The sequence below is a fragment of the Homo sapiens genome, chromosome 2, assembly GCF_000001405.40.
Source record: "Homo sapiens chromosome 2, GRCh38.p14 Primary Assembly".
NCBI classification, from domain to species: domain Eukaryota; kingdom Metazoa; phylum Chordata; class Mammalia; order Primates; family Hominidae; genus Homo; species Homo sapiens.
Genome location: NC_000002.12, coordinates 25,109,055 through 25,132,366, shown reverse-complemented (window position 1 = coordinate 25,132,366; position 23,312 = coordinate 25,109,055). Strand labels below are relative to the sequence as shown.

General features: G+C 49.8%; 1 protein-coding gene across 2 annotated transcripts in view, besides 2 other annotated features; it reads right to left on the bottom strand.

The window, feature by feature from the left end:
- Positions 1 to 23,312, bottom strand: part of EFR3B (EFR3 homolog B) — a 117,060-nt gene that overhangs the window by 26,769 nt on the left and 66,979 nt on the right. For both annotated transcript variants that reach the window (NM_014971.2, NM_001319099.2), the window contains exons 5-10: positions 10,573 to 10,694; positions 4,035 to 4,184; positions 2,258 to 2,392; positions 1,737 to 1,815; positions 864 to 999; positions 456 to 617 (exon numbers count right to left, since the gene is read on the bottom strand). In NM_014971.2, the coding sequence (NP_055786.1) occupies positions 456 to 617; positions 864 to 999; positions 1,737 to 1,815; positions 2,258 to 2,392; positions 4,035 to 4,184; positions 10,573 to 10,694 (784 nt within the window). The remainder of the gene's footprint in view (positions 1 to 455; positions 618 to 863; positions 1,000 to 1,736; positions 1,816 to 2,257; positions 2,393 to 4,034; positions 4,185 to 10,572; positions 10,695 to 23,312) is intronic.
- Positions 773 to 1,067: a silencer, noted in NCBI's record as "tiled region #11705; HepG2 Repressive DNase matched - State 21:Repr". NCBI's record gives its function as "represses a minimal TATA promoter and a strong SV40 promoter by Sharpr-MPRA in HepG2 cells {active_cell/tissue: HepG2}" and the evidence as "EXISTENCE:reporter gene assay evidence [ECO:0000049][PMID:27701403]".
- Positions 8,304 to 8,473: an enhancer, noted in NCBI's record as "experimental_58220 CRE fragment used in MPRA reporter constructs". NCBI's record gives its function as "activates a minimal promoter by MPRAs in K562 erythroleukemia cells, with activity observed for both the introgressed and non-introgressed 2:25346848 variant alleles {active_cell/tissue: K562}" and the evidence as "EXISTENCE:reporter gene assay evidence [ECO:0000049][PMID:34662402]".

Here is a 23,312-nt window from a genome sequence, read left to right as displayed (position 1 = left end):
CTTTTCTCTTAGTCCCCATCTCTCCCTCCTGGAAGCCCTAACCTGGAAGCATCAGGCAGGTCTGATGGTGACTGGGACTAAAGAAGGTTCGCCTGAGACTTCAGATCTGAGACACTCATCTGACTGCTTGCGCTGTCGCTCAGGCCCTGCCCAGCCAGTCCTTTCATTTCCCGACTTCATTCTCTCCGAGGTCCGTGAATAGCATGTGGGTGCTGGACAATCCTACAGGGGCCCGGTTGGATGCCCTTCGCCCCAGTGCGGTCCCTCCCTCTCCAACCCCCATCCCCGGGCCGCCCCCGGTGCCCCGCCCCTTTCCAGGGTCCCTCTTTCCTCCCCTTGGCCCCACCCCGCCCTGCGCCTCAGTCTTGAGCCCCTGGGCCCCGTCCCGTCCCTCCCCTCCCCTCCCCACTCCGCGCCTCGGCCCCGCCCCGCCCCGGCCCGGCCCCGCGCCGCACCCACGGTCTTGATGACGGCCTCCTGGAACATGCGCTCCTCGTGCTCCTTGATGATCTTGGTGCCGAGGCTGACCGCCCCGTCGTAGCTCCCGGTCAGCGCGTAGTCGATGCTGAGCCGCAGCTGCCTCAGCAGCGTGTTGAACATCTCCAGTACTGTGGGCCCTGAGAGCGGTGGGGCGGGACACCCGAGATCCAAGGCTGGCACCCTCCTCCTCTGTGCACCGCGCGCAGGCAGGGCAGGGTCACGCCCCCTTCCAGCCTGGGCTTCCTCTGCGCTCCCAACTTCCTGGCGGACTTCTCCCGAGGAAAACGGACTCCGACCCCTCCCTGTTGTCCCTTGCCTCTCTCTGTAAGAGGCGGCAGCCTCCGCGGGGTCCCCGGCCCTCAGGCCCTAGCCATGCCCCTTACCCACAGAGCCGGTGGCAGCGATGACCGCGGCTTCCGACAAGACTTCCACGATGCCCGCGCGCACCGTCGCAGCGCTGCGGCTGTTGGCGTCCAGGTGGCCCAGGAGCTGCTGGATGACCAGGTGTGAGTGCTGCGGCTGCGGGAGGAAGATGAGCTGGGCCTGGACAGCAACCCCACGGGGTCCCTGGGCTGCGCAGCCCTCTCCTGGCACCCAAAGGCGGGGGTAAACTAAAGGGACGTTCCAAGGCCCCGGGCACTGCAGTTGGCACTGACACCTCGTGCCCTTTACTGGATCCTTCCCTTCTCCCTCCAACAAAGAGCCAAATCCCAGTGGAGGCCTCAGCTGACAGTTTTCCAGGGCCCTTTTACTTCAAAATTGGTCAAAAGACCATTTTAAAATAGGGTCTTCCTTTCATTTCTTCAGGTCTTTCCGGCAAGAGCCACGGGAGGCCACATGGCTTAGTCCAGTGCTGCCTAAAGTGGGGCCCCTGGGCTGGTGCCCATTCAAGATAGGTCTGATATTGGTTTACACTGAGATAAGGATGGGATGGAAAGTCAGTGTTTAGTAAACAATTTGTCAATGCTGTAGCAGCCAAGGGTGTGATCTGTAGGCTTGCATTTTGCATGAGTTTTTTATTTAATTTTTCTAGAAATTATTTGTTTTAATTGTATTTTATAAAAGTATTGGTCTGTGATGTACTGGAAATAAAATCAGCCGGCCCTTCTCCACAGCTAGCTTAAGCAGCACTGGTTTCGGCAACTGGGGGCTTCGGAGGAGTCACAGGGGACTTCTGGCTTTCTATTTTAGCACCCGTCTAGCTTCTAGAGAGGCCTTTGTCCTGGGATCCGGCTGGCCCAGGGGAGCCACCATACCTGAATTGAGTACATGATGATTTTAAAGCAACGGATGGCAAACACCTTGGGTTCCCAAAGAGAATGGTTATCCAGATGGCTGTGAGGGAGAAAACGTGGGGGAACAACTATGAAACTCCCGGCAGTGTTAGGGAGAAGAGATTAGCTTGGAGGCAGAGGGACACCTTCTCAGAGCCCCTCGCACAGTTCCCGGGTGAGGAAGTGAAGCCTGAAGGGCCTTGGGGTAGTCCCAGTCCAGTGCTGGAGAGAGGCCAAGGACAGCGCTCTGCAGTTGTGGATGTGTGTGGTGAAGCTGGGCACCTTTGCTTAGCGTTGGGTGCCTTCCTACTGGCAGCAGTTGGCCACCCTGTGGCAGCTTTTGCTGTCACAGTGCAGGGAACACAGGCACAGGGAAGGGATCGACTCGGCTGCGGCACCACAACTGTAATATCCCCTTCCCCCCAGCCAGCCAGGAGATGCCAGGGACCTGAAACACATCCAGGCTGAAGGCTGGGGCCAAGGCAGTGGGTGGGGGCACTCACATGAGAACAGGCTTGATGGCGTTTTTGATGTTGCCAAAGGCAGCCCGGCCCAGCAGCTCCCGAAGACACCTCTCAGCCAGCTCCGCGGGGCTCTCTTTCTCCTTCTCAGGTGCTTGGAGGGGTGAGGGAGACCGGCTGGGGAGACAGAGGCACATGGGTAGAGGGTGGCATGCAGGCTGGGGTCAGGCTCTGTACAATCCCGGCTTTCCGTGTTTCATCCACACAAGACAAGCAGGAATTTGACATGGGTTGCACTAGGCAATAGGGGAGGCGTCACAGCTGTCAGAAATTAAATGGGGGTAAAGAAGCCCCCACTGGGGGAAGTGGGGGAAGACCGGAGAAGAAAAGATAAAGTTCTTTTTCTGGAAATCCTTAAAGATTTCCAGATGTACCACTGTGGGAAGGATGCTCTGAGCCCCATGGGCCAGGTGAGGTGTAGAACATGTGTGTCTTGATGCACCTAAGACTTCAGAAGGAAAAGGAGATGGGAGATGAAGATAGGAAAGGGAGGCAAAAAACAAAACAGAAGTGGAAGAAAGGAGAGGAAAGAGAGGGAGGGAAAAGGAAAGGCACAGTGGTTGGCTCAGGCAAGAGTCAATGATACTCAAGTCACAGGGAGTGGGCCCACATCTGGACAGAACAGGAGCCGGAGGACTCCCAGCCCAGAGACCACAGCAGCTTGTCAGTGAGATGCTATTCCAGAAACAGCCACCAGATGGCATACGAACCCCACCCCACCCCACGCCCCACCCCACGCCCCGCCCCCGCCCCCGCCCCCGCCCCCGCCCCCGTCGACCCGAGTCTAGCTCTAGTAGCCTGGGATCAACCGACCTAACTAGCCTAGTGCACAGATAGCCCAGGTGGGACAGCAACGTGGGCCTTTCTCCCCATTCCATTTCACCGAGGGGAAAAATGAGGGTGCAGGGACAGGAATGAATCCCATGCTTAGGGGATCCAGGATTAAAACCCAGTATCTGCAAGCTCTTACTGAGTGGCTGCGGGCTGGTCAAGCATGCACGTTTTCAGGGCCTGAAATAGCATCAGGAAGCAACAGAGGAAGGAAGGTCCAGATGGAAAGTCCGCAGTGATCGGAGCCATGAAAGGCATCTTTTTTTTTTTTTTTTTTTTTTTTTTTTTTTTTTTTTTTTTGAGACGGAGTCTCGCTCCGTCGCCCAGGCTGTAAGTGCAGCGGCGCGATCTCGGCTCACTGCAAGTTCTGCCTCCCGGGCTCCCGTTCTCCTGCCTCAGCCTCCCGAGTAGCTGGGACTACAGGCGCCCGCCACCACGCTCAGCTAATTTTTTTGCATTTTTTTTTAGTAGAGACGCGGTTTCATCGTGTTAGCCAGGATGGTCTCGATCTCCTGACCTCGTGATCTGCCCGCCTCAGCCTCCCAAAGTGCTGGGATTACAGGCGTGAGCCACCGCGCCCGGCCCACAAAAGGCATCTTAAAGCCTCCTTGGCCCTGCTTCCAGGGAGACAAAGGTAACCAGACTCTTGGTTCTGTGTGTTATTACCAACAGATTTACCCACCAGGGAGCCCAGCACCAACACTGTCCTCCTTCGGTAACGCACATGTTAAGGGACACTGTGGGCTGGCACAAAGTCAGACCCATGGCTTCTAGGGAGCCAGCTTTGGACTCACTGCAGAACAAGCCACAAAGCCATGTCCCTGGCCTTGTAGCTGAGTTTTACTGACCAACCCAAACCATGTGGTTCCCAAGCAGCCCTTGGAGGGTTGATTATATCTACTGTCCTGCCCCATCCCGGCCTGCTTACCTCTCTGCCTCCTCTACATGCTGTAGATTGAAAAGCAGTGATGGAACGATCTTATCCATGTGCTGTGGGTCCCAGATATTGGCCTGCAGTTCATCATTCACCGTCTTCCTCACCACCCCTTGCAGGCCTTTGATGCCTGACATTCGAATTCTGTAAGGAAAAGGGTGAAGTGGGACTCGGAAGTCCTCTAGCCCTGAGAAGTCCAGCTTCGGTGGCTAAGAGAAGAGCACAGCTTAGGAGTCAGGGATACATTTGTCCATCAGAAGGCAGAATGGAGACCAGCTGCTACTCTCATGAGACCTCCTGGTGCTGGCAGACATGAGCCCAGGAAGCCATGTCTTTTTAATCATCTTGGAGACTCCCAGGCTGCCCTTGCCCTGGTACCATCTGGGCTCCAGCCCTAGGGTGCTGGATGCTCCAGCTCCCCATCTTTAGTACTTAGCTGGGGTTGTTCCAGCTTGGGCCCAAGATGTAAGAGCTCAAAACGCTGCCAAGAACTGATGAAGCAGAATCCGAGGCTGTGAGCAACTTGCGGGGGCAGGGGGAGGCGGATCCAGAGGGAGAGGCACAGAGCTGCAGGCTCTCTGGGCACAAAGGGGTGTCGGCTTGGAGCTAGGGTTAACCAGAGGGGAAACTGAGTAACAGCACAGCAGGAGCCCCTTTTGTACACCCCCAGTCCCTGCTATGTGAACCCAGGGTCAGCACAGCTCTGTGGGAGGGAGCCCTCTTTACTAGCCATTTATTTCAGACTGAAGTTTCTTTCTTTCTTTTTTATAAAACCTTTTTTCTGGTTATAAAATAATACATACTAATCATAGAAAAGTATAGAGAAGAGAAGATTTACCACTACCACCACCACTACCACTGTTATCTTTGTTATCAAACATAACTGTTATTGGCATTTTGATGTAATTCCTTTCTTCTGTGCATAATATATAACAGAATTAAGAACCTATTGCATATTTTATTTGTATTGGCTTTTTTCACATACATTCTATGCATTTTCCTATGTCATTAACTCTTCATAAACATGTTGAATGGTTGCCTGATAGACTATCATAAGACCTTTCTAAACTAGTGACTATTAGTCATTTAAGTTGTTTCCAAATGTTTTGCTTTTTTTTTTTTTTTTTTTTTTTTTGAGGTGGAGTCTGGCTCTGTCGCCCAGGCTGGAGTGCAATGGTGCGATCTTGGCTTACTGCAACCTCTGCCTCCCGGGTTCAAGCAATTCTTCTGCCTTGGCCTCCTGAGTAGCTGGGATTACAGGCATGTGCCACTATGCCCGGCTAATTTTTGTATTTTTAGTAGAGACAGGGTTTCACCGTGTTGGTCAGGCTGGTCTTGAACTCCTGACCTCATGATCTACCCGCCTCAGCCTCCCAAAATGCTGGGATTACAGGTGTGAGCCACCGTGCCTGGCCAAACGTTTCACTTTTATAATAATGCTATGATGGGCATCATTGTATGAAATATTTTACTATGTTTCAAGTCATTGCCATGAGTGGAATCAATGAGTCAAAAGGTAAGAAATAAAAGGCAGCCAGACACAGTGGCTCACACCTGTAACCCCAGCACTTTGGGAGGCAAGGCCAGTATATAGCTTGAGCTCAGGAGTTCGAGACCAGCCTGGGCAACATGGCAAAATCTCATCTCTACAAAAAATTAAAACATTAGGCCGGGCGCGGTGACTCACGCCTGTAATCCCAGCACTTTGGGAGGCCGAGGTGGGTGGATCACCTGAGGTCAGGAGTTTGAGAACAGCCTGGTCAACATGGTGAAACCCCGTCTCTACTAACAATACAAAAATTAGCCAGGCATGGTAGCAGGCACCTGTAATCCCAGCTACTCGGGAGGTTGAGGTGAAAGAATTGCTTGAACCCAGGAGGTGGAGGTTACAGTAAGCGGAGATCATGCCACTGCACTCCTGCCTAGGCGAAAGAGTAAGACCCTGTCTCAAAAAAAAAAAAAAGAAAGAAATTAGCCAGGTATGGTGGTGCGCACCTGTAGTCACAGATACTCAGGAGGCTGGGGTGGAAGTACTGATTGAGCCTGGGAGGCAAAGGTTGCAGTGAGCTGAGATCATGTGAGATCATGGCACTGCACTCCAGCCCGGATGAAAGAGTGAAACTCTGTCTCAAAAAAGGAAATGAAAGGCTCCCAATTTGCCAAAATAACTGCCCCCACCCCCTGCCCATGCGCAAGCCGCAGGAGAATGCCACTCTCACAGTGCCTGTGGCAGTATTGAGGATCTCATTTTAAACATCTGTTCTAATTTTATGACTCCAAAAAATCCTCACATTTTGTAGCTATTTCAATTCAAATCCTTTTGTGATTATTGGAGATGAGCAGTTTTTCTCAAGGTTGAGTTGCCAGTTGCATTTTTAACTTCGTTTTTTTTTGAGACGGAGTCTCGCTCTGTCACCCAGGCACGATCTCGGCTCACAGCAACCTCCGCCTCCCGGGTTCACGCCATTCTCCTGCCTCAGCCTCCCCAGTAGCTGGGACTACAGGCGCCCGCCACCACGCCTGGCTATTTTTTTGTATTTTTAGTAGAGACAGGGTTTCACCGTGTTAGCCAGGATGGTCTCGATCTGCTGACCTTGTGATCCTCCCGCCTTGGCCTCCCAAAGTGCTGGGATTACAGGCGTGAGCCACCGTGCCTGGCCTTAACTTTGGTTTTAACTGGGGTTGCCAGGGTGCTACCCTGGGTCTTACCGAGGAACTGTGGCTGGAGGTGGCAGCAGCCTAGGAGAAACAGGATACCCTGGCCCAGAAACTTTTAGGGCCACTGGCGATGGGCAAGGATTCCCTGGAAGCACCTGGCCACGCTGTCCTGACCCTGACCACATTCAAGACCCTGAGCTGGCAGCTGTCCGGACTTGGGAATGAACGATCAGGAATACTGTCCTGCTGACTCTTCTTAGTTCCAGTTTAAAAAGGCACTCCCTAACCAAGGGACAAGTGACACACATCCCCAGCATGCTGGACTCGTTTGTCCCGTCCAAGTGGGCCTGGCTGGCAGGAAACAACGCCTGGTTGGCAGAAAAACTTCTACCCAGGGCTCCCTTATGTGTACATGTGAATTAATCTTTCTTCTTTTCCTAACTACCTTGCACTCCTTCACCTTCAGTCTCCCCAGAATCCCTTCCACAAATGCACGATTCATTCTGTGACACCCAGAGCTGACCGTGCCTTTCAAAAGAAGTTCAGAAAGATCAGGCCTGGAGGGGGAGGAAGCTTCTTACTCTTCCTATTCATTTATTTATTTATTTTTCGACACGGAGTCTCACTCCGTTGCCCAGGCTGGAGTGCAGTGGCACAATCTTAGCTCACTGCAACTTCCACCTCCCAGGTTCAAGTGATTCTTGTACCTCAGCCACCTGAGTAGCTGGGACTACAGTTGTGCGCTACCATGCCTGGCTAATTTTTTGTGTTTTCAATAGAGACGGGGTTTCACCATGTTGACCAGGCTGGTCTTGAACTCCTGACCTTAAGTAATCTGCCTGCCTCAGCCTCCCAAAGTGCTGGCCATATAGGCTTTAGCCACCACACCTGGCCCTTACTGCTCCTTTTTTTTTTTTTTTTTTTTTTTTTGAGACAGAGTCTCGCTGTGTTGCCCAGGCTGGAGTGCAGTGGCACTATCTCGGCTCACTGCAAGCTCTGCCTCCGGGTTTACACAATTCTCCTGCCTCAGCCTCCCGAGTAGCTGGGATTACAGGTGCCCGCCACCACGCCTGGCTAATTTTTTTTGTATTTTTAGTAGAGACTAAATAGGGGTTTCACCGTGTTAGCCAGGATGGTCTCCATCTCAATCTCCTGACCTTGTGATCCGCCCCGCTCGGCCTCCCAAAGTGCTGGGATTACAGGCGTGAGCCACTGCGCCCGGCCCTACTGCTCCTCTTAATGGGCACAGTGGAGATCTACCCATGACCAAGGGCCCCATGAAGTCTCTGAATCCAAGGAAAGATCAGATAATACTGATCCACTGACCCTGAGGAATCACACACACACACACACACACACACACACACACACACACACACACACACACACACTTGCATGCACAGGCCCACTGCTGGACCCAAGGGTGTTACTGGAAAGGGCAGTCAATGGCATTCAGAGGCAGCCTCTGGGTTCCTAGACCAAAATGATGCTATGTGTGTGGACAGCCCAGCACAGCTGCCACCGGGTCAGCTGAGTCTAAAAAGGCTGAGAATGAACAACAGGAGAGATCTCAGGGAAAAAGGGGTGCAGGGAGGGGACGGAAGAGAAAGGCAAGAAGAGGAGGAAGGAAGAAAATTGACACCAGAAGATCCCTCCTCCACCCTCTCTCACCCACAGGCCTTCCTGTCATGGGTGACCAGCGCCAGCCTGTGGGTGTAATGGCACTGCTGGTGGCTGGGAGCCAACCTCAGCAGCCTTCCTCCTGATGTTCAGGAAACTCCTGATCCTGCTGGAACACAGTGCTGACCACATCACACACTACAGATCATGTGTATGTGCACATGTGTCTGTGTGCATGTGTGCGTGTGTGCACGTGTGTGCAGTGGCATGAGTGGCCCATCCACTCCCCCACCACCCTGGGACAGCTTGGCAGGGCCTGCGTGGGCAGCATGTGTTACAGACATATGTGGCCATGGTCCTATACCTCCCCTAACACCTGCTTCTGGACATGCCCCCACAGCTCCAGCCCCTCTGGCTCTTCATAGCCATTTTGCAATGGTGGTGACTCAGGAAGCTAATTCTGGGAGAGGATGAGGGGCTCCTTCCTCCCATACCCCACTCTGGCCTCACCAGAGGCACTCAGGCAGGGCAGCTGCAGAGTCCACACCTGGCTTATGAGAGTCTCGGGGACTGGGGGAACCCAGACAATGCCACACAGTTGCACCGGGCCCTGCCCAGGAGTCGGTCTACTGCCTTGGAAGCATATATTCATTTTAATTTCTTTGTGATTAATTGTTTTTTTTTTTTTTGAGACAGGGTCTCACTCCGTCACCCAGGCTGGAGTGCAGGGGTGCGATCATGGCTCACTGCAGCCTCGACCTCCCAGGCTCAAGAGATCCTCCCACCTCTGCCTCCTAAGTAGCTGAGAATACAGGCACGTGCAGTCATGCCCAGCTAATTTTATTTTTTGTGGAGGTGGGGTCTCATTATGTTGCCCAGGCTGGCCTCAAACTCCTGGGTTCAAGTGATCCTCCTGCCTCAGCCTCCCAAAGTACTGAGATTACAGACATGAGCCACTGCACCTGGTCAATTTCTCTGTGATTTTATTTGAGAGATTTTGCTTCTATGTCCAAGTATGCTTCTGTGAGCTAAGTGTTTTTATAAATTGGAGTATGTGTATGTAAAAGCGTATCCCGTAAGGCAAGATGCTTGTCTGAGGGTGTTCATTCATTCTGTTATTCACTCAACAAGAATTTGTCAAGTGCCACTGCTCTCCAGGCAGTGTTAGTGCTTGGGATGCATCCGTGAGTAAAACGACGGACCCTGCCCTCACAGAGCTTACATCCCAGTGGGAAGAGACAGGTGGTGAACAAGAAACACAGAGAGTAATGTATGAAACATGTTAAAAGGGGAAAGAAACCCCGGCAGAGTGAGGGAGGAGTGGGCATGTGGGGGTGTGCAGGGCAGCTTCACTGACAAGGGGACATTTGAGCAAAGGTTTGACAGAGGCGATGCAGTGAGCCATGCAGATCCCTGGAGGAAGCATTCCCAGCACAAGCACAGACTGTGCAAAGGCCCTGAGGCAGTGTCTGTGGTGTGCTGGAGGGGAACGAGCAAGCAGGAGGGCCAAGGAGATGGAGTGGAGAATGCAGCTGGGATCAGCCAAAGTGTGAACTTTGGCTCTTTATTGGTAGGTGTAGATTTTGATGGTTAATGGTGAGTGGGTGTGTTTCTGGAGTATAAATGCATATAATTCTGAACAAAAGAGTGTATGGAGGGCTGTGTGTGTGTACACATGTGTGTTCTGTCACTGGCTCTCAAATTGGGCTCAAAGGACTGTTATCTTACATTGAGCCCCTTTGTCTGGCCCAAGCAGTTTTTCCTTTAGAAACCACATGTGGGGGCCGGGTGTAGTGGCTCCCGCCTGTAATCCTAGCACTCTGGGAGGCCGATGTGGGTGGATCACCTGAGGTCAGGAGTTTGAGATGAGCCTGGCCAACATGGTAAAACCCCATCTCTACTAAAAATACAAATATTAGCCGGGCGTGGTGGTGCACATCTGTAATCCCAGCTACTTGGGAGCCTGAGGCATGAGAATCACTTGAACCTGGGAGGCGGAGGTTGCAGTTAGCCAAGATCGCGCCACTGCACTCTAGCCTGGGCAACAGAGTGAAACTCGGTCTCAAAAAGAAAAAAAAAAAAAACAGAAACCACATGTAGGGAGCTGGGTGCTGGCCCACCTGCCCGGCAACATCAGAGCAGACACAGATACTAACAAAAGCAGACACGCAATGGCAGGTTGGAAGTTATCTACAGGACCCACCGTTGCTTCTGCTGTAAGCTGAACCAACTACCCTTGCCTTCCCCTACTCACTTGGTCTTGATTTCTAAGTCATCATGGCTCGAGTGGCACATTTCACTGAATCGGGACACAAAGAAGTCATAGCTCCGGTGATAGGACGGGGTGTCCTCCTCGATGTTGGCAAACTTCACAAACTATCAGGGAGGAAGGAGAGAAACACACGAGAGAGGTGACCCACCATGCTTCTCACTGCTGGGCATCCCCAGACCCCCTGCCATGGTCAAGCCATGGGAACCACGCATCCTGGAGCCAGCTTGGCCGGCCTTGCAGAGCACACTGGGGAGATGAGTTCCCAATCCCGCTCGCCTCTCCTGTTGCACAATAAGATTGGAAACCATGGCCCTTCTCAGGCCTCCCCTGCTGCGGGAGCAGAGGACAGAAGAGAAGGGAACATGAAAGGGCTCACAGAAGCACCTGCCCTCATCGCTCCATCCAGAGCTGCACAAACACACGGGGGCGGGGAGGCTGTTAGGAATAATACGGAACCTGAGTGAAAGCCAGCGACGAAGCAGGAGCACCACCCTCAATGAATTCGAGGACACAAGAACAAATCTGAAATTTGACTTTAAAATGTAATTACACTTTATTGTTAGAAACTGGAGTTTGGCCAGGTACAGTGGCTCATGCCTGTAATCCCAGCACTTTGGGAGGCCGAGGCAGGTGGATCATTTGAGGTCAGGAGTTCGAGACCAGCCTGGCCAACATGGTGAAACCCTGTCTCTACTAGAAATGCAAAATTAGCCAGGCTTGGTGGCAGGCACCTGTAATTCCAGCTACTTTGGGAGGCTGAGGCAAGAGAATTGCTTGAACCCGGGAGGTGGAGGTTGTAGTGAGCCGAGATCACACCACTGCGCTCCAGCCTGGGCGATAGAGCGAGACTCCATCTCAAACAAAAACAAAAACAAACAAAAACAATGATAACAACAAAAATTGGAGTCCATTTTTAAAGTTTGCCATTTCAGTTCAGTAGGTCTTGATCGGCATCCTGGGCAGCTAGATTCCTCCTGCACCAGGGTGCTGCACATTTGCAATTCTAAATAGAGACTTAATTTCAACTGAGTCCTGCAGAGAAGCAACAGTCATGAACTAAATGAAGTTAAATTACTAAATATTTAATATGATTCTTACAGGGCTTTTGTTGCTGTTGTTGTTGTTGTTGTTTTTGAGACGGAGTCTTGCTCTGTCGCCAGGCTGGAGTGCAGTGGCGCGATCTCAGCTCACTACAACCTCCACCTCCCGGGTTCAAGTGATTCTCTTGCCTCAGCCTCCTGGGTAGCTGGGACTACAGATGCGTGCCACCATGCCCAGCTAATTTTTGTATTTTTAGTAGAGACGGGGTTTCACCATGTTGGCCAGGATGGTCTCGATCTCTTGACCTTGTGATCCGCCCGCCTCAGCCTCCCAAAGTGCTGGGATTACAGGCATGAGCCACTGCGCCCGGCCAGGGTTTTTTTTTGAGATGAAGTCTCACTCTGTTGCCCAGGCTGGCATGCAATGACATGATCTCGGCTCACTGCAACTTCCTCCTCTCGGGTTCAAGCGATTCTCCCGACTCAGCCTCCTGACTAGCTAGGATTACAGGCACCTGCCATCATGCCCAGCTAATTTTTTTTTTGTAGAGACAGCGTTTCACCATGTTGATCAGGCTGGTCTTGAACTCCTGACCTCAGGTGATCCACCCACCTCGGCCTCCCAAAGTGCTGGGATTATAGGCATCAGCCCCCGTGCCCAGCCTTTATAGCTTATTTGGTTTACTGTTATTAATCTAGTACCCCCAAACAACTAAAAAGGTTAGATTCACAATAAAATATATTCTCCATTATTCAGCCCTCTATTATTATTTAATTTTTATAAACATGTGTTGGGTCAAAAAGGATATAGTATTCTTCCCAAAAGTATCTAGTTAGTGGACTCTCATAATATTTAGTATTGTCAATTTGTGTCTGTATTTAACAACTTAAAAGTTGTTAATAACTTTTTCTGGATGAAAATTAGCAGCTTCCACAAACATCATTAATTATTGTAGTGTTTTATTCTTACAATAATAAATACAACAGCTATTTTCTGTTGACTGAGAGAATCCCAACATACAAGCAAATAAGGAGATCTTTCCTTCCAAGCTACATCTAAAATGGATTCATATATTTGGGAGTGAATATTCCGATGTTAGCAATAAATCCAAGTGGCATTGCTGGCATGACTGATGTGGTGACGCAGAAGAGGCACAGTGGTAATCCACGTGATCACAAGATCATCGATTACGTACAAGTTCAGGAGAGTTCCAGAAAGAAGGCTGAAGTCGGCCTTCGGCTGCCTGGCCTTCATAAGCCCCCAAGGCTGGAACAGACTTGAGGTGCTGAAGCCACGTTTGGCTGAAGTTAAGTTTGGGTGCATCACTGCCCTTAGCCACCGGCAGCATGTTCCCCGGCTGCACTCCTCACAGCCAAAGGCTGGTCCGGTCAGGGTGTCTGTCCACTCAAAGGAGACACACAGCTCTAGCAGGTTCTAAATGCAGATCTAGCTCTGCATTAGGAGGTGTGGACTTTGAATGAGACATTTAACTTCTTTTTATGTTTTGGTTTTCCCATGTGCAAAACAAGCAGCCCGGTTGTCACTGAGGTTCTTTTAAAGTTTCAAAAATATATACTATGTCTACTTCGAATATTATGAGGCAGATTAAGACTCCCTGTGTGTGTAAGACTGCATGAATTTTAATAAAAGAAATGATGAAAAAAAGAGGCCAATAATAAAGAGAAAGAAACAAACACAGACTTTGTCCCCAGCATGTAGTGACTGTGTAGACTCAAATGTACATTAGGAGAATGAATGGCCAAAATTAATGTTCACTGGTTTGGGAGTCTGATTCTCCCACCTCAGCCTCCCTAGTAGCTGGGACTACAGCCACGATGCCTGGCTGGTTTTGTATTTTTAGTTGAGACGGGGTTTCACCATGTTAGCCAGGATGGTCTCCATCTCCTGATGTCATGATCCGCCCGCCTTGGCCTCCCAAATTGCTGGGATTACAGGTGTGAACCACCACGCCCTGCCTTTTTTTTTTTTTTTTTTTTTTTTTTTTTTTTGTAGAGACAGGGTCTCATTGTGTTGTCCAGGCTGGTCTCAAACTCCTGGGATCAAGCAATCCTCCCACCTTGGCCTCCAACTTGCTGTTTTTGACATACGCTGTGAAATAGTCACCACGGTTAAGCCAGTTAACGTAACACCTCACATAGTTGCCACTTTCTTTCCTCTTCCCTCCTTCCTTTCTGTGGTAATTACATTTAAGATAGCTAAGATGTGGAAATAACCTAAATGTCTGACAAATAAATGGATCTAGAAAATGTGGCATATCTGTGTATACACACACACACAGTGGAATATTATTCAGCCTTAAAGAAGAAGGGAATCCTGACAGCTGCAACAACATGGATGAACCTGGAAGACATTATGCTCAGTAAAACAAATCAGACGCAGAAAGACAAACACTGCCTGATCTCACTCATATGTGCAATCTAAAATAGTTAAGCTCAGCCAGGCGCAGTGACTCACGCCTGTAATCCTAGCACTTTTGGAGGCGGAGGCAGGCAGATCACTTGAGGTCAGGAGTTCGAGACCAGCCCGGACAACAGGGTGAAACCCCGTCTCTACTAAAAATACAAAAAATTTGCCAGGCATGGCGGTACGCGCCTGTAATCCCAGCTACTCGGGAGGCTGAGGCAGGAGAATTGCTTGAACTCAGGAGGCAGAGGTTGTAGTAAGCCAAGATCACACCACTGCACTCCAGCCTGGGCGACAGAACGAGACTCAGTCTCAAAATAAAATTAAGTTAAAATTAAATATAAAATAAAATAAAATGTCAAGCTTGCAGAAGCAGAGTAGAAGGGTGATTGCCAGGGGCTGCGGGGAGTGGAAATAGGGAGACGTTGGTCAAAGGGTACAAACTTTCTCCAGTTTTTATTCCTGCCTTCTGCTTCCTCTAGCCTCAGGCTAGATGACCCAGGAGCATTGCTGCTGGGGAGCAGGGGATGATATTGTTAGAGAACAAGAGGTGGATGAGAAAGTGGGCAATAGGCACCTTAGTATTATTTTATTAAGAGGAGCCGGGCACGGTGGCTCATGCCTGTAATCCCAGCACTTTGGGAGGCCAAGGTGGGCAGATCACCTGAGGTCAGGAGTTCGAGACCAGCCTGCCCACACGGAGAAACCCCATCTCCACTAAAAATACAAAATTAGCCGGGCTTGGTGGCGCATGCCTATAATCCCAGCTACTTGGGAAGGCTGAGGCAAGAGAATCGCTTGAACCTGGGAAGTGGAGGTTGCAGTGAGCCGAGATTGCACCATTGCACTCCAGCCTGGGTAATAAGAGCAAAAAACTCTGTTTCAAAAAAAAAAAAAAAGAGGGTGGGGGACAGGTAGGGTGGGGCTGGAGGTGGGAGGACTTGGCTTTTCAAACACTTCCAGACAGCAGAGTCACAGGGCGCTGCTGACCACACTGGTTTCTGTCCCCCACCCCTCCCAGACATGCTGAGTCTGTCCTGGAAGAGGCTGGGGAATCTCAGTGGGCCAGTCTGAGGCCCACACCTGGGAAGCCACGCCTGGGAGCCGCAGGCAGGGGCTGACGGGCAGTCCCGCCTACTCTCTTCCTCTCGCCTCCCTACACCCATGCCCCTTGGAACCCATTCCTGATCCTGGTGGAACGGGGACACCAAGACCCCTCCACGTTCAACTTTGACTTTCCTCTTCCTCAGCGAGCCGTGGCGCCATAGGACTGAGGCCAGTCAAGTCACACAGCCAGTGCAGCTGCTCACGGCCAGCGTCTGTCCTCATTATCCCTGCTGTCTATGCTGTTAAATATTTCAATCATTATCCCTGGCTGTAAGGTCAGAATTGACATTAAAATCAAATTTTTAAAAATGAGAGTTCTGCAGCTACCCCTGAGGTGGTGCGAGGTAGAAAACATAAGTGGTAATCCCTTTCCTAAAACCACAGAAGGCCTCATTCCAGACCAGGTCAGCAGTTTCTCCTGAATCTGTCCCAAGCGGGTCAGCCACAGCTGCTAACCTCACTGGAAAACTCCCTTGCTCTCTCCTTCTGCGGCTCCATGAGTCCCTGGATGTGTGTTCTTCTGTACTCCTCTTCCCTGACATATTAGTTTCGAATCTTCAAAAAAAAAAAAAATTTTTTTTTTGAGACAGTCTCGCCCTGCTGCCCAAGCTGGAGTGCAGTGGCGCCATCTTGGTTTGCTGCAACCTCTGCCTCCTGGGTTCAAGCAATTCTCATGCCTCAGCCTCCCAAAAAGCTAGGATTACAGGTGCCCGCCACCACACCTGGATAATTTTTGTATTTTTAGTAGAGACGGGGTTTTGCCATGTTGACCAGGCTGGTCTCAAACTCCTGGTCTCAAGCAATCTGCCTGCCTTGGCCTCCCAAAGTGCTGGGATTACAGGCATGAGCCACCGCACCTGGCCTGTTTCCTTTTCTTTAAAATGTATCTATCACCTCCTAGGAACATGAATAAAGTAGAGAAGATTCAGAAAAGCTCCCTGAGCTCCTGGAGTAACAGGAACTGTGTGAACTCAAGGCATATTATTAGTAAGGTTCTTATTCTAAGAGGCTTAGACTTTTTATGACCCTACAGGATTCAGCACCACACAATCATTGAACAGCAGTATTTGCTGGGGCAATGTACAAATACATTCCACTCACCACTTAAAAAACAGCACGCCATTCTTAACATGCCTGGGACTCCACTCACTGTTCTTTCCCATCCCACTTGATCAGGAAAACACATTTCAGATATGGTTGTAGTAAAGCTTATTTGCTTTCGTTTAATGCATGCCTTGTTCTGTTGGAAGCCTTCAAAATATCCGAAAGACATCACAAAGCCCGAGTTCTAGAAGAGGCTATTCATAGACATAGGAGTTTTCATCAGGAATGGCGAGGCCAGGCCCAGTTAACACCTACAGTCTAAGTAATAACAGCAGTAAATATTTCTGTGGCACTCACTGCTTAACACGTCAGTGTTAGCTGTCTCTGTGTTGTCTCTGCCTCAGTCTTGACATCATCTTCTCCTCTGTGTGTCAAATCTCCCTCTGCTTATCTCTAATAAAATGCTTGTGATTGCATTTAGACCCACCTGGAAAATCCAAGATAATCTCCCAATCTCAAATTAAGTTAGTCCTTAATTTAATCACAGCCGCCAAGACCCTGTTTCCATATAAGGTAACGTGCAGAGGTTCCAGGGATTAAGATGGAGACACCTATTGACGCATCATTTTCCAGCTGATCACAACATCCATTATCTGATACGATTTTCAGCAAACTAGTGAGTTTAGCAGAACATGTGTTGCTCCCATTAGAGAGATGAAAAAACTGAGGCTTAAAGGGAGCAAGTGAATTATTTCAGCTCAACCCGCTTGCGACAGGTGGAGCTGAGCCTCAGGCTTGGGAATTCTCACACTGGGTCGCATGATCTTAGCTCTTTACATTTTAATGTGTATCAGAACTACCTAGGGAGCTTGTTTAAAATACAGATTTCTGAGCCACTCCAGCCTACTGCCATCCTACTGAACAAACTCTCTAGGGGTTGGGCTTAGGTATCTGCATTTTCTTTTCTTTTCTTTTTCTTGAGACAGTATCTCACTCCTGTCGCCCAGGCTGGAGTGCAGAGGCGTGATCACGGCTCACTGCAGCCTTGACTTCCTGGACTCAGCCGATTCTCCCACCTCTGCCTCCCGAGTAGCTGGAACCACAGGTATGTGCCACAATGTCCGGCTAATTTTTTATTTTGTACAGATGGGGTTTCAGTGTTGTCCAGGCTGGTCTTGAATTCCTGGGCTCAAGTGATCCACCCAGCTTGGCTTCCCAAAGTGCTGGGATTACAGGCGTCAGCCACTGCGCCCGGCCAGGTACCTGCATCCTTAAGTGCCCGCTCCCCCTACTCTGGGGCAGGGGATCTACAGGTCGCATGTACTTGGCCCAGGGTAAACTGGTCCCACAGCTATAGAAATGTTCTGAGGCAGGGTCAGGGGAAGAAAGCTCTCGCAGAACCTTGGGAAAAAGCTAGGGAAGCATGTTCTTGGTCAGGGAGGTCCGTCAAGGCTGGATGGATGGACAGCCACTTCCTCTGAAGGGGAGAACTGGGGTGGTTTGGGCTTGAACCAAGGGTAGCATGGCTCCATCTCTGGAGCATGCTGTTTGCCCTCTGGGGCCCAGGACTGCCTAGGAGGTTGCAGACTTGAGGCTCGGGCTGTTGACCATTCCATTCCCTCGGGCTGCCAGGACTCTTGCTCTGTTAGATATTCTAGTAAGACTGCACTTAATGCCAGTCCCCGATCTCCCGTGGAGAAGTGGTGTGTGCAACAGGGCTATCTAATAAAATAAGCACCTTTTTGGTACCAGGATCTCGAGCCTCCTTAGGATCCCTTGGTTTGACAGCTTGTGGGGAGATGCTTCCCTTCCCTGAGGCTGGAAGTATGAAAGCGCAGTCGCAGCAGCCCAGCTAGGTCACCTGGTCAGGGAGCGCTGTCCGTGGGTCCCTGTTGGGGCAGCTCCTAGAGAGCCCACCCTATGTGGTTCCTGAATCTTCCAGGGGTTGACATGAGGGGGCCAAGCTGGAAATTTTGGTGACAGTGATTCAGAGGGTCTGATGGGGTTTTTCCCGGGGGCCCTGGTCAAAGGACCACACCTATTGCGGAAGTCCACCTTGAAATGTGCCAATGTCTGGCTGAGATGAGGTTGGGACTCTCCGGTTTTAGAGCGAGTAAGCCCTTTTCCCTCTTAAAGAGGCAGTGTAGTGCTATGATTACAAGAAGGGGTTTGGAGCCAGACCACATATTTGAATCCTAATTATTAGTAGGGTGATCTGGGACAAGCTTACTTGTCCCAGCTTACTTAAAGCTCCTTGTGCCTCAGTTTCCCTGTCTTTCAAATAGGGGTAACCCAAGCACCTGCCTTGTAGGCTTGGTATGACCAAAGCTCTACCTGCCTCACCTGTCACAGTTAGGCACTGCCTCCTCATTTTCTCCCCCAGGGCATTTTTGGCCTGTCATCCATACTCCATGAATTTCCACTGGGCCCATTTACCTGTGTGACTGGTCACTATTTCTTTTTTTTTCTTTTCTTTTCTTTTTTTTTTTTTTTGAGACAGAGTCTCACTCTGTTGTCCAGGCTGGAGTGCAGTGGCACGATCTCGGCTCGCTGCAAGCTCCACCTCCCAGGTTCATGCCATTCTCCTGACTCAGCCTCCCGAGTAGCTGGCACTACAGGCGCCCGCCACCACGCCCAGCTAATTTTTTGTATTTTTAGTAGAGATGGGGTTTCACCGTGTTAGCCAGGATGGTCTCGATCTGCTGACCACAAGGTCAGGAGTGCTGGGATTACAGGCGTGAGCCCCCGCGCCCGGCCTGGTCACTATTTCTTTAAATCCATAATACAACAGGAACTCCTATCTGTTTCACCCCTACAACTGAGAACTCAGACTTTACAGATGACTTTTATTAAAATGCGAGTTCTAATGCATGAGATCATGAAAGATCATGGTTTTTTGTTTGTTTGTTTGGTTATTTGGTTTTGTTTTTTTGTTTTTAAGATATAGCAATGATGAGGAAAGTCGCCATAGCAAAAAACTGAAGATTTCGAACATGTGACATTTCAAAGGCCGGGGGCACTGCTAGGGCCACCCTTTCAAGATCAAAGTTTCAGCTTTTTATATACAACAAAGGGCACCAAGCTTGCTGGAGTGATCACCCACCCTGTAGTATAGGCAGCTAGGAGGCAAAATGGTGTGAAAACTGAGGGTTACTAAGGGTCAATAGAGAGTAAAAGCTCCAAAGATTGGCCTTGCAGGAACAGCTCTCTCCCGGTCTTATCACAGGCCAAGTCTCTCCAAACAGAAGATAGCCATTCCCTCTTCTATAGGTGTGCCTTCTGAACCAACCAACTTCCTGCTGTCAGTGACAGAACTATAGTTAAAAATACTGGGCATACATAAAACCCAACTTTCTCGCAGTTCAAGGACTGAAGGCCTTTTTGCTGCATTTACCTACAAAGAGAAAGGAGAACTGCTTCTTTGCTTCACTAGACTTAATCTGGGTAGAAAAATCAGCACCAAAGAACATTGCCCAAATTTAAGACAAGTCCTAGCTGGAAAGCAGATCTTGCCAACCATATGGTTTTGAGTTTACCATTGCCTGTCCCTTTCTCCCCACTGTCCTTGTTTATAGCAATTCCCTAGAGCAGTTTTCACTGTAGCCAGAGGCACAGTCCATCCCATCTTAACTTGATCATGTCCTGCCAACCTCCTGACTACCAGCCAAGGCATAGTAATTCCCCAGATCTATGACATACTCTCCTGTCCACCCACATTACACAGTCCCCCCTTCAAGACTCTTTGCAAAACTGGCTGTGGTTTTAAGGACTCCTGGGAAAGTCTAGTCCTTGCTGGCCCCAGGACACCATCCCTGCTGGCCCTGGGCAGCCCCATCTGCTGGACTCCAAGGACTGCACTCAGGAAGCACAGACCTCGGGGAACACCAGCTGGCTGCCTCTGCTCTCAGAGCCTGTCCCTACCTGGGGCTGAGCCCCATGCCTTGGGCCGTTCCACTGGCCTTGGTCTCTAGCAGTGCTGATTTTTGAACCAAAGTGCTGAAAATTGGGGCATATCTAGTCGACAGGTGACAGTTAAAACCACAAGAGTTGATGAAATTGTCCAGGGGCAGCATATCCAGTGAGAAGAGGGTAGAGCACAGAGCCTAGGAGACCACAGACACTCAGGGGGATGAGGAAAAAGAGAATTATTTGAAGGACACTGTCTTGGCTTCCTGTGGCTGCTGTAACAAGTTACCACAATTTAGTGGCTTAAAACAGCACACGCTTATTATCTGAGTTCTGGAGCTCAGAAGTCTGCAATAGTTCTGCATGGCTGCATTCCTTCTGGGGGTTCTGGGGAGCATTCATTTCCTCAGGCTTTCCAGCTTCCAGAAGCCACCTCCATCCTTTGGCTTGTGCCCCCTTCTCTATCTTCAAAGCCAGCAGCAGGGCATCTTCAGATCTCTTTGTCTCTGTCCCTCTGCTTCCATCATCACGTCCCCTTCTGTCCGACTCTGATCCTCCTGCGTCCCTCTTATAATGACCCTTGAGATTATATCAGGCCCACCTGGATTATCCAGGATAATCTCCCCCAGCTCGAGATTCTTAACTTGATCACATCTGCAAAGTCCCTTTTGTCATATAAGGTGGCATTCACAGGTTCCAGGGATTAGGACATAGGCAACCGTGGGATGGGGGCATCATTCAGCCTACCACAGAAACTAAGCAGGGCACATCCGGTGGGAAGAGGTGGAGTGACAGGCCTGAGGAAGTGAAGGGAGTGTGAACAAGGGTGGGATCCCAGGGAGAAATGGGCGTGATCCCAGGGAGAAATGGGCACGATCCCAGGGAGAAATGGGCGTGATCCCAGGGAGAAATGCCACCAAAAGATAAAAACATGAGGGGCAAGGTGGGTGGGGAGTGGGTTATTTTCATGGTTTCCACAGATTCTAACTGCAAAGAGAAAAATGTAATTTTACAATGGAGAGGGGTGGCTGGCCACACCCTAGGCCGGGATCACACTTGGCATCTGTAAAGGTGGGACACAGACATTTGTGCCTCCTGCTGTGATACCCGGTATAGCAACCCAAAACCCCCATGAAGTATTATAGCCGAAAGTAGTTACCTGCATCCAATCAAACTTTCAGATCTAATTCCAGTTTGCAGGAAATACAAGAGACAGGAGAGTCAGATAAGTGACACCGCAGCAAAGAACCAGACAAATCCAGAATGGAGGGCATTCTACAAAGCAACTGACCTGCCCTCTTCAAAAAGTCAATGTCATGAATAAAAGAGGGGCAGAGAGAGGTTGCGAAGCTGCTAAGAGAGTTAAGGGATGTAGAAAACAAATAAATAGTCTTTACTAAGTTCTGATTTGAAAAAGGATAGCAATGCAGACAACGGGGGAAAATTAGGGAAATCTGGATTTAGACGACATATTAAAATAAGATCAGGGAATGACTGTTGATTCTGTCAGGCAAGCTAATGGCATTTCGTAGTTATGCAGGAGAACGTAATTTTTTTGTTTTTCTCTTGTTTATTAATTTAATTTATTTCTACACTGCAAGAGACTTGAACTTGTGTTTAGATTGAGGGAAGGAATCAAAGCAAGGCAAAGGGTGGAGATGGGGAAGGGGCAGAAAGAATGGATGCAGGGAGGCTCCGGAGGGGCTGGGAACCCTTTGGAGAGGAAGAAGATGGGCACAGGAAGTGGAAGAAGCCCCCTGGGACAGCCCCCATTTCCTGAGTGGGAGAAGAAGGCAAAGGCATCTTGAGACTGAAGAAGCTGATTTGGGAGGGGAGTTTAGGGGAAAATGGAAGGTTTGTAAGGATCACTTGGAGGACGTGAGAGGAGGCTGCCTGAAAGCCCAGGTAAACTCCTAACGCACATATGTGTAGAGGCCCCAACCCACAGGCTGTGTGGTTTTCTGAGGTGGGGGCATTAGGGTAGAGAAGGCCGGGTGGCTGTGCAGGCCCTGGGAGGGTAAGGCAGGTGGACAGAGGGTGTCCCGAGGGCCCCGGAGGGTGGCAGAGGAAGGGAGTCTCAGCAAGAGCTGGAGCTTGGAACGAAACGAGGAGACCCAGGGAGGTGAGATCTCGTGAGGGGCAGGGGAGCAAGGAAGCAAGATGGGGGGGAACAGGGTGCTGCACAGCCTGAGTCACAAGGAGGGACGTCTCCAGGATCCCCATGACCCTGGCCTGCCACAGGGGAGCCGCCCTCCCCCCAACCTGCTGGGTGACTCGCTTTGCACCAGCCTCCGAGTGGGCTTGGTTTGAGGTTGTGGCACAGTAAAAGCAAAAATGCCTGTGTGCCATTGACTCTGGGTTACTCAGAGTACAACTTTTTAAAAAATTGAAGTAAAATTCACATAACATAAAATTAGCCATTTTAAAGTGCCCAATTCAGCGGCATTTAATCCATTCACAATGTTTTGCAACCAAAACATTTTCCTCACCCCAAAAGGAAACCCTATACCCACTCAGCAGTCCCTCCCCATTCCTCTCTCCCCCTTCACCTGGCAAACACAAATCTACTTCCTGTCTCTACAGATTTACCTAACTGAATATCTCATATACATGGGACGATAAATAGGTGACCTTTTTGGTTGTTTCTACCTTTCAGCTCTTGTGAATAGTGTTGCTATGAACAATTGTGTACAACTATTTGTTTGAGAACCTGTTGTTAATTATTTTGGGTATATACCCGGCAGAATTGCTGGGCCATATAATTCCATATGTTGAACTTTTTGAGGAAGCACCAAACTATTTTCCAAAGGCGCTGCACCATTTTACATTTCCACCAGCAAGTATGATGGTTCCGGTTTCCACACATCCTTGCAAACATTTGCCATCTTTTGTGTGTGGGACTGTGTTTTTAATTGCCATCTTAGGGGGTGTGAAGTGGTGTCTTGTTGTGGTTTTGATTTGTATTTCCTTAATGATTAGCGATGTTAAGGATCTTTTCATGTGCTTCTTGCCATTTGTATATCTTTTTTGTGAAAATATCTATGAGAGTTCTTTGCCCGTTTTTAATTAGGTTTTTTTTTTTGTTGTTAAGTCTTAAGAATTATTTGTATATTCTGGTTATTGAACCCTTATTAGATATATGATTGGTAAATATTTTCTCCCTTTCTGTGGGTTATCTTTTTACTGTCTGATTGTGTCCT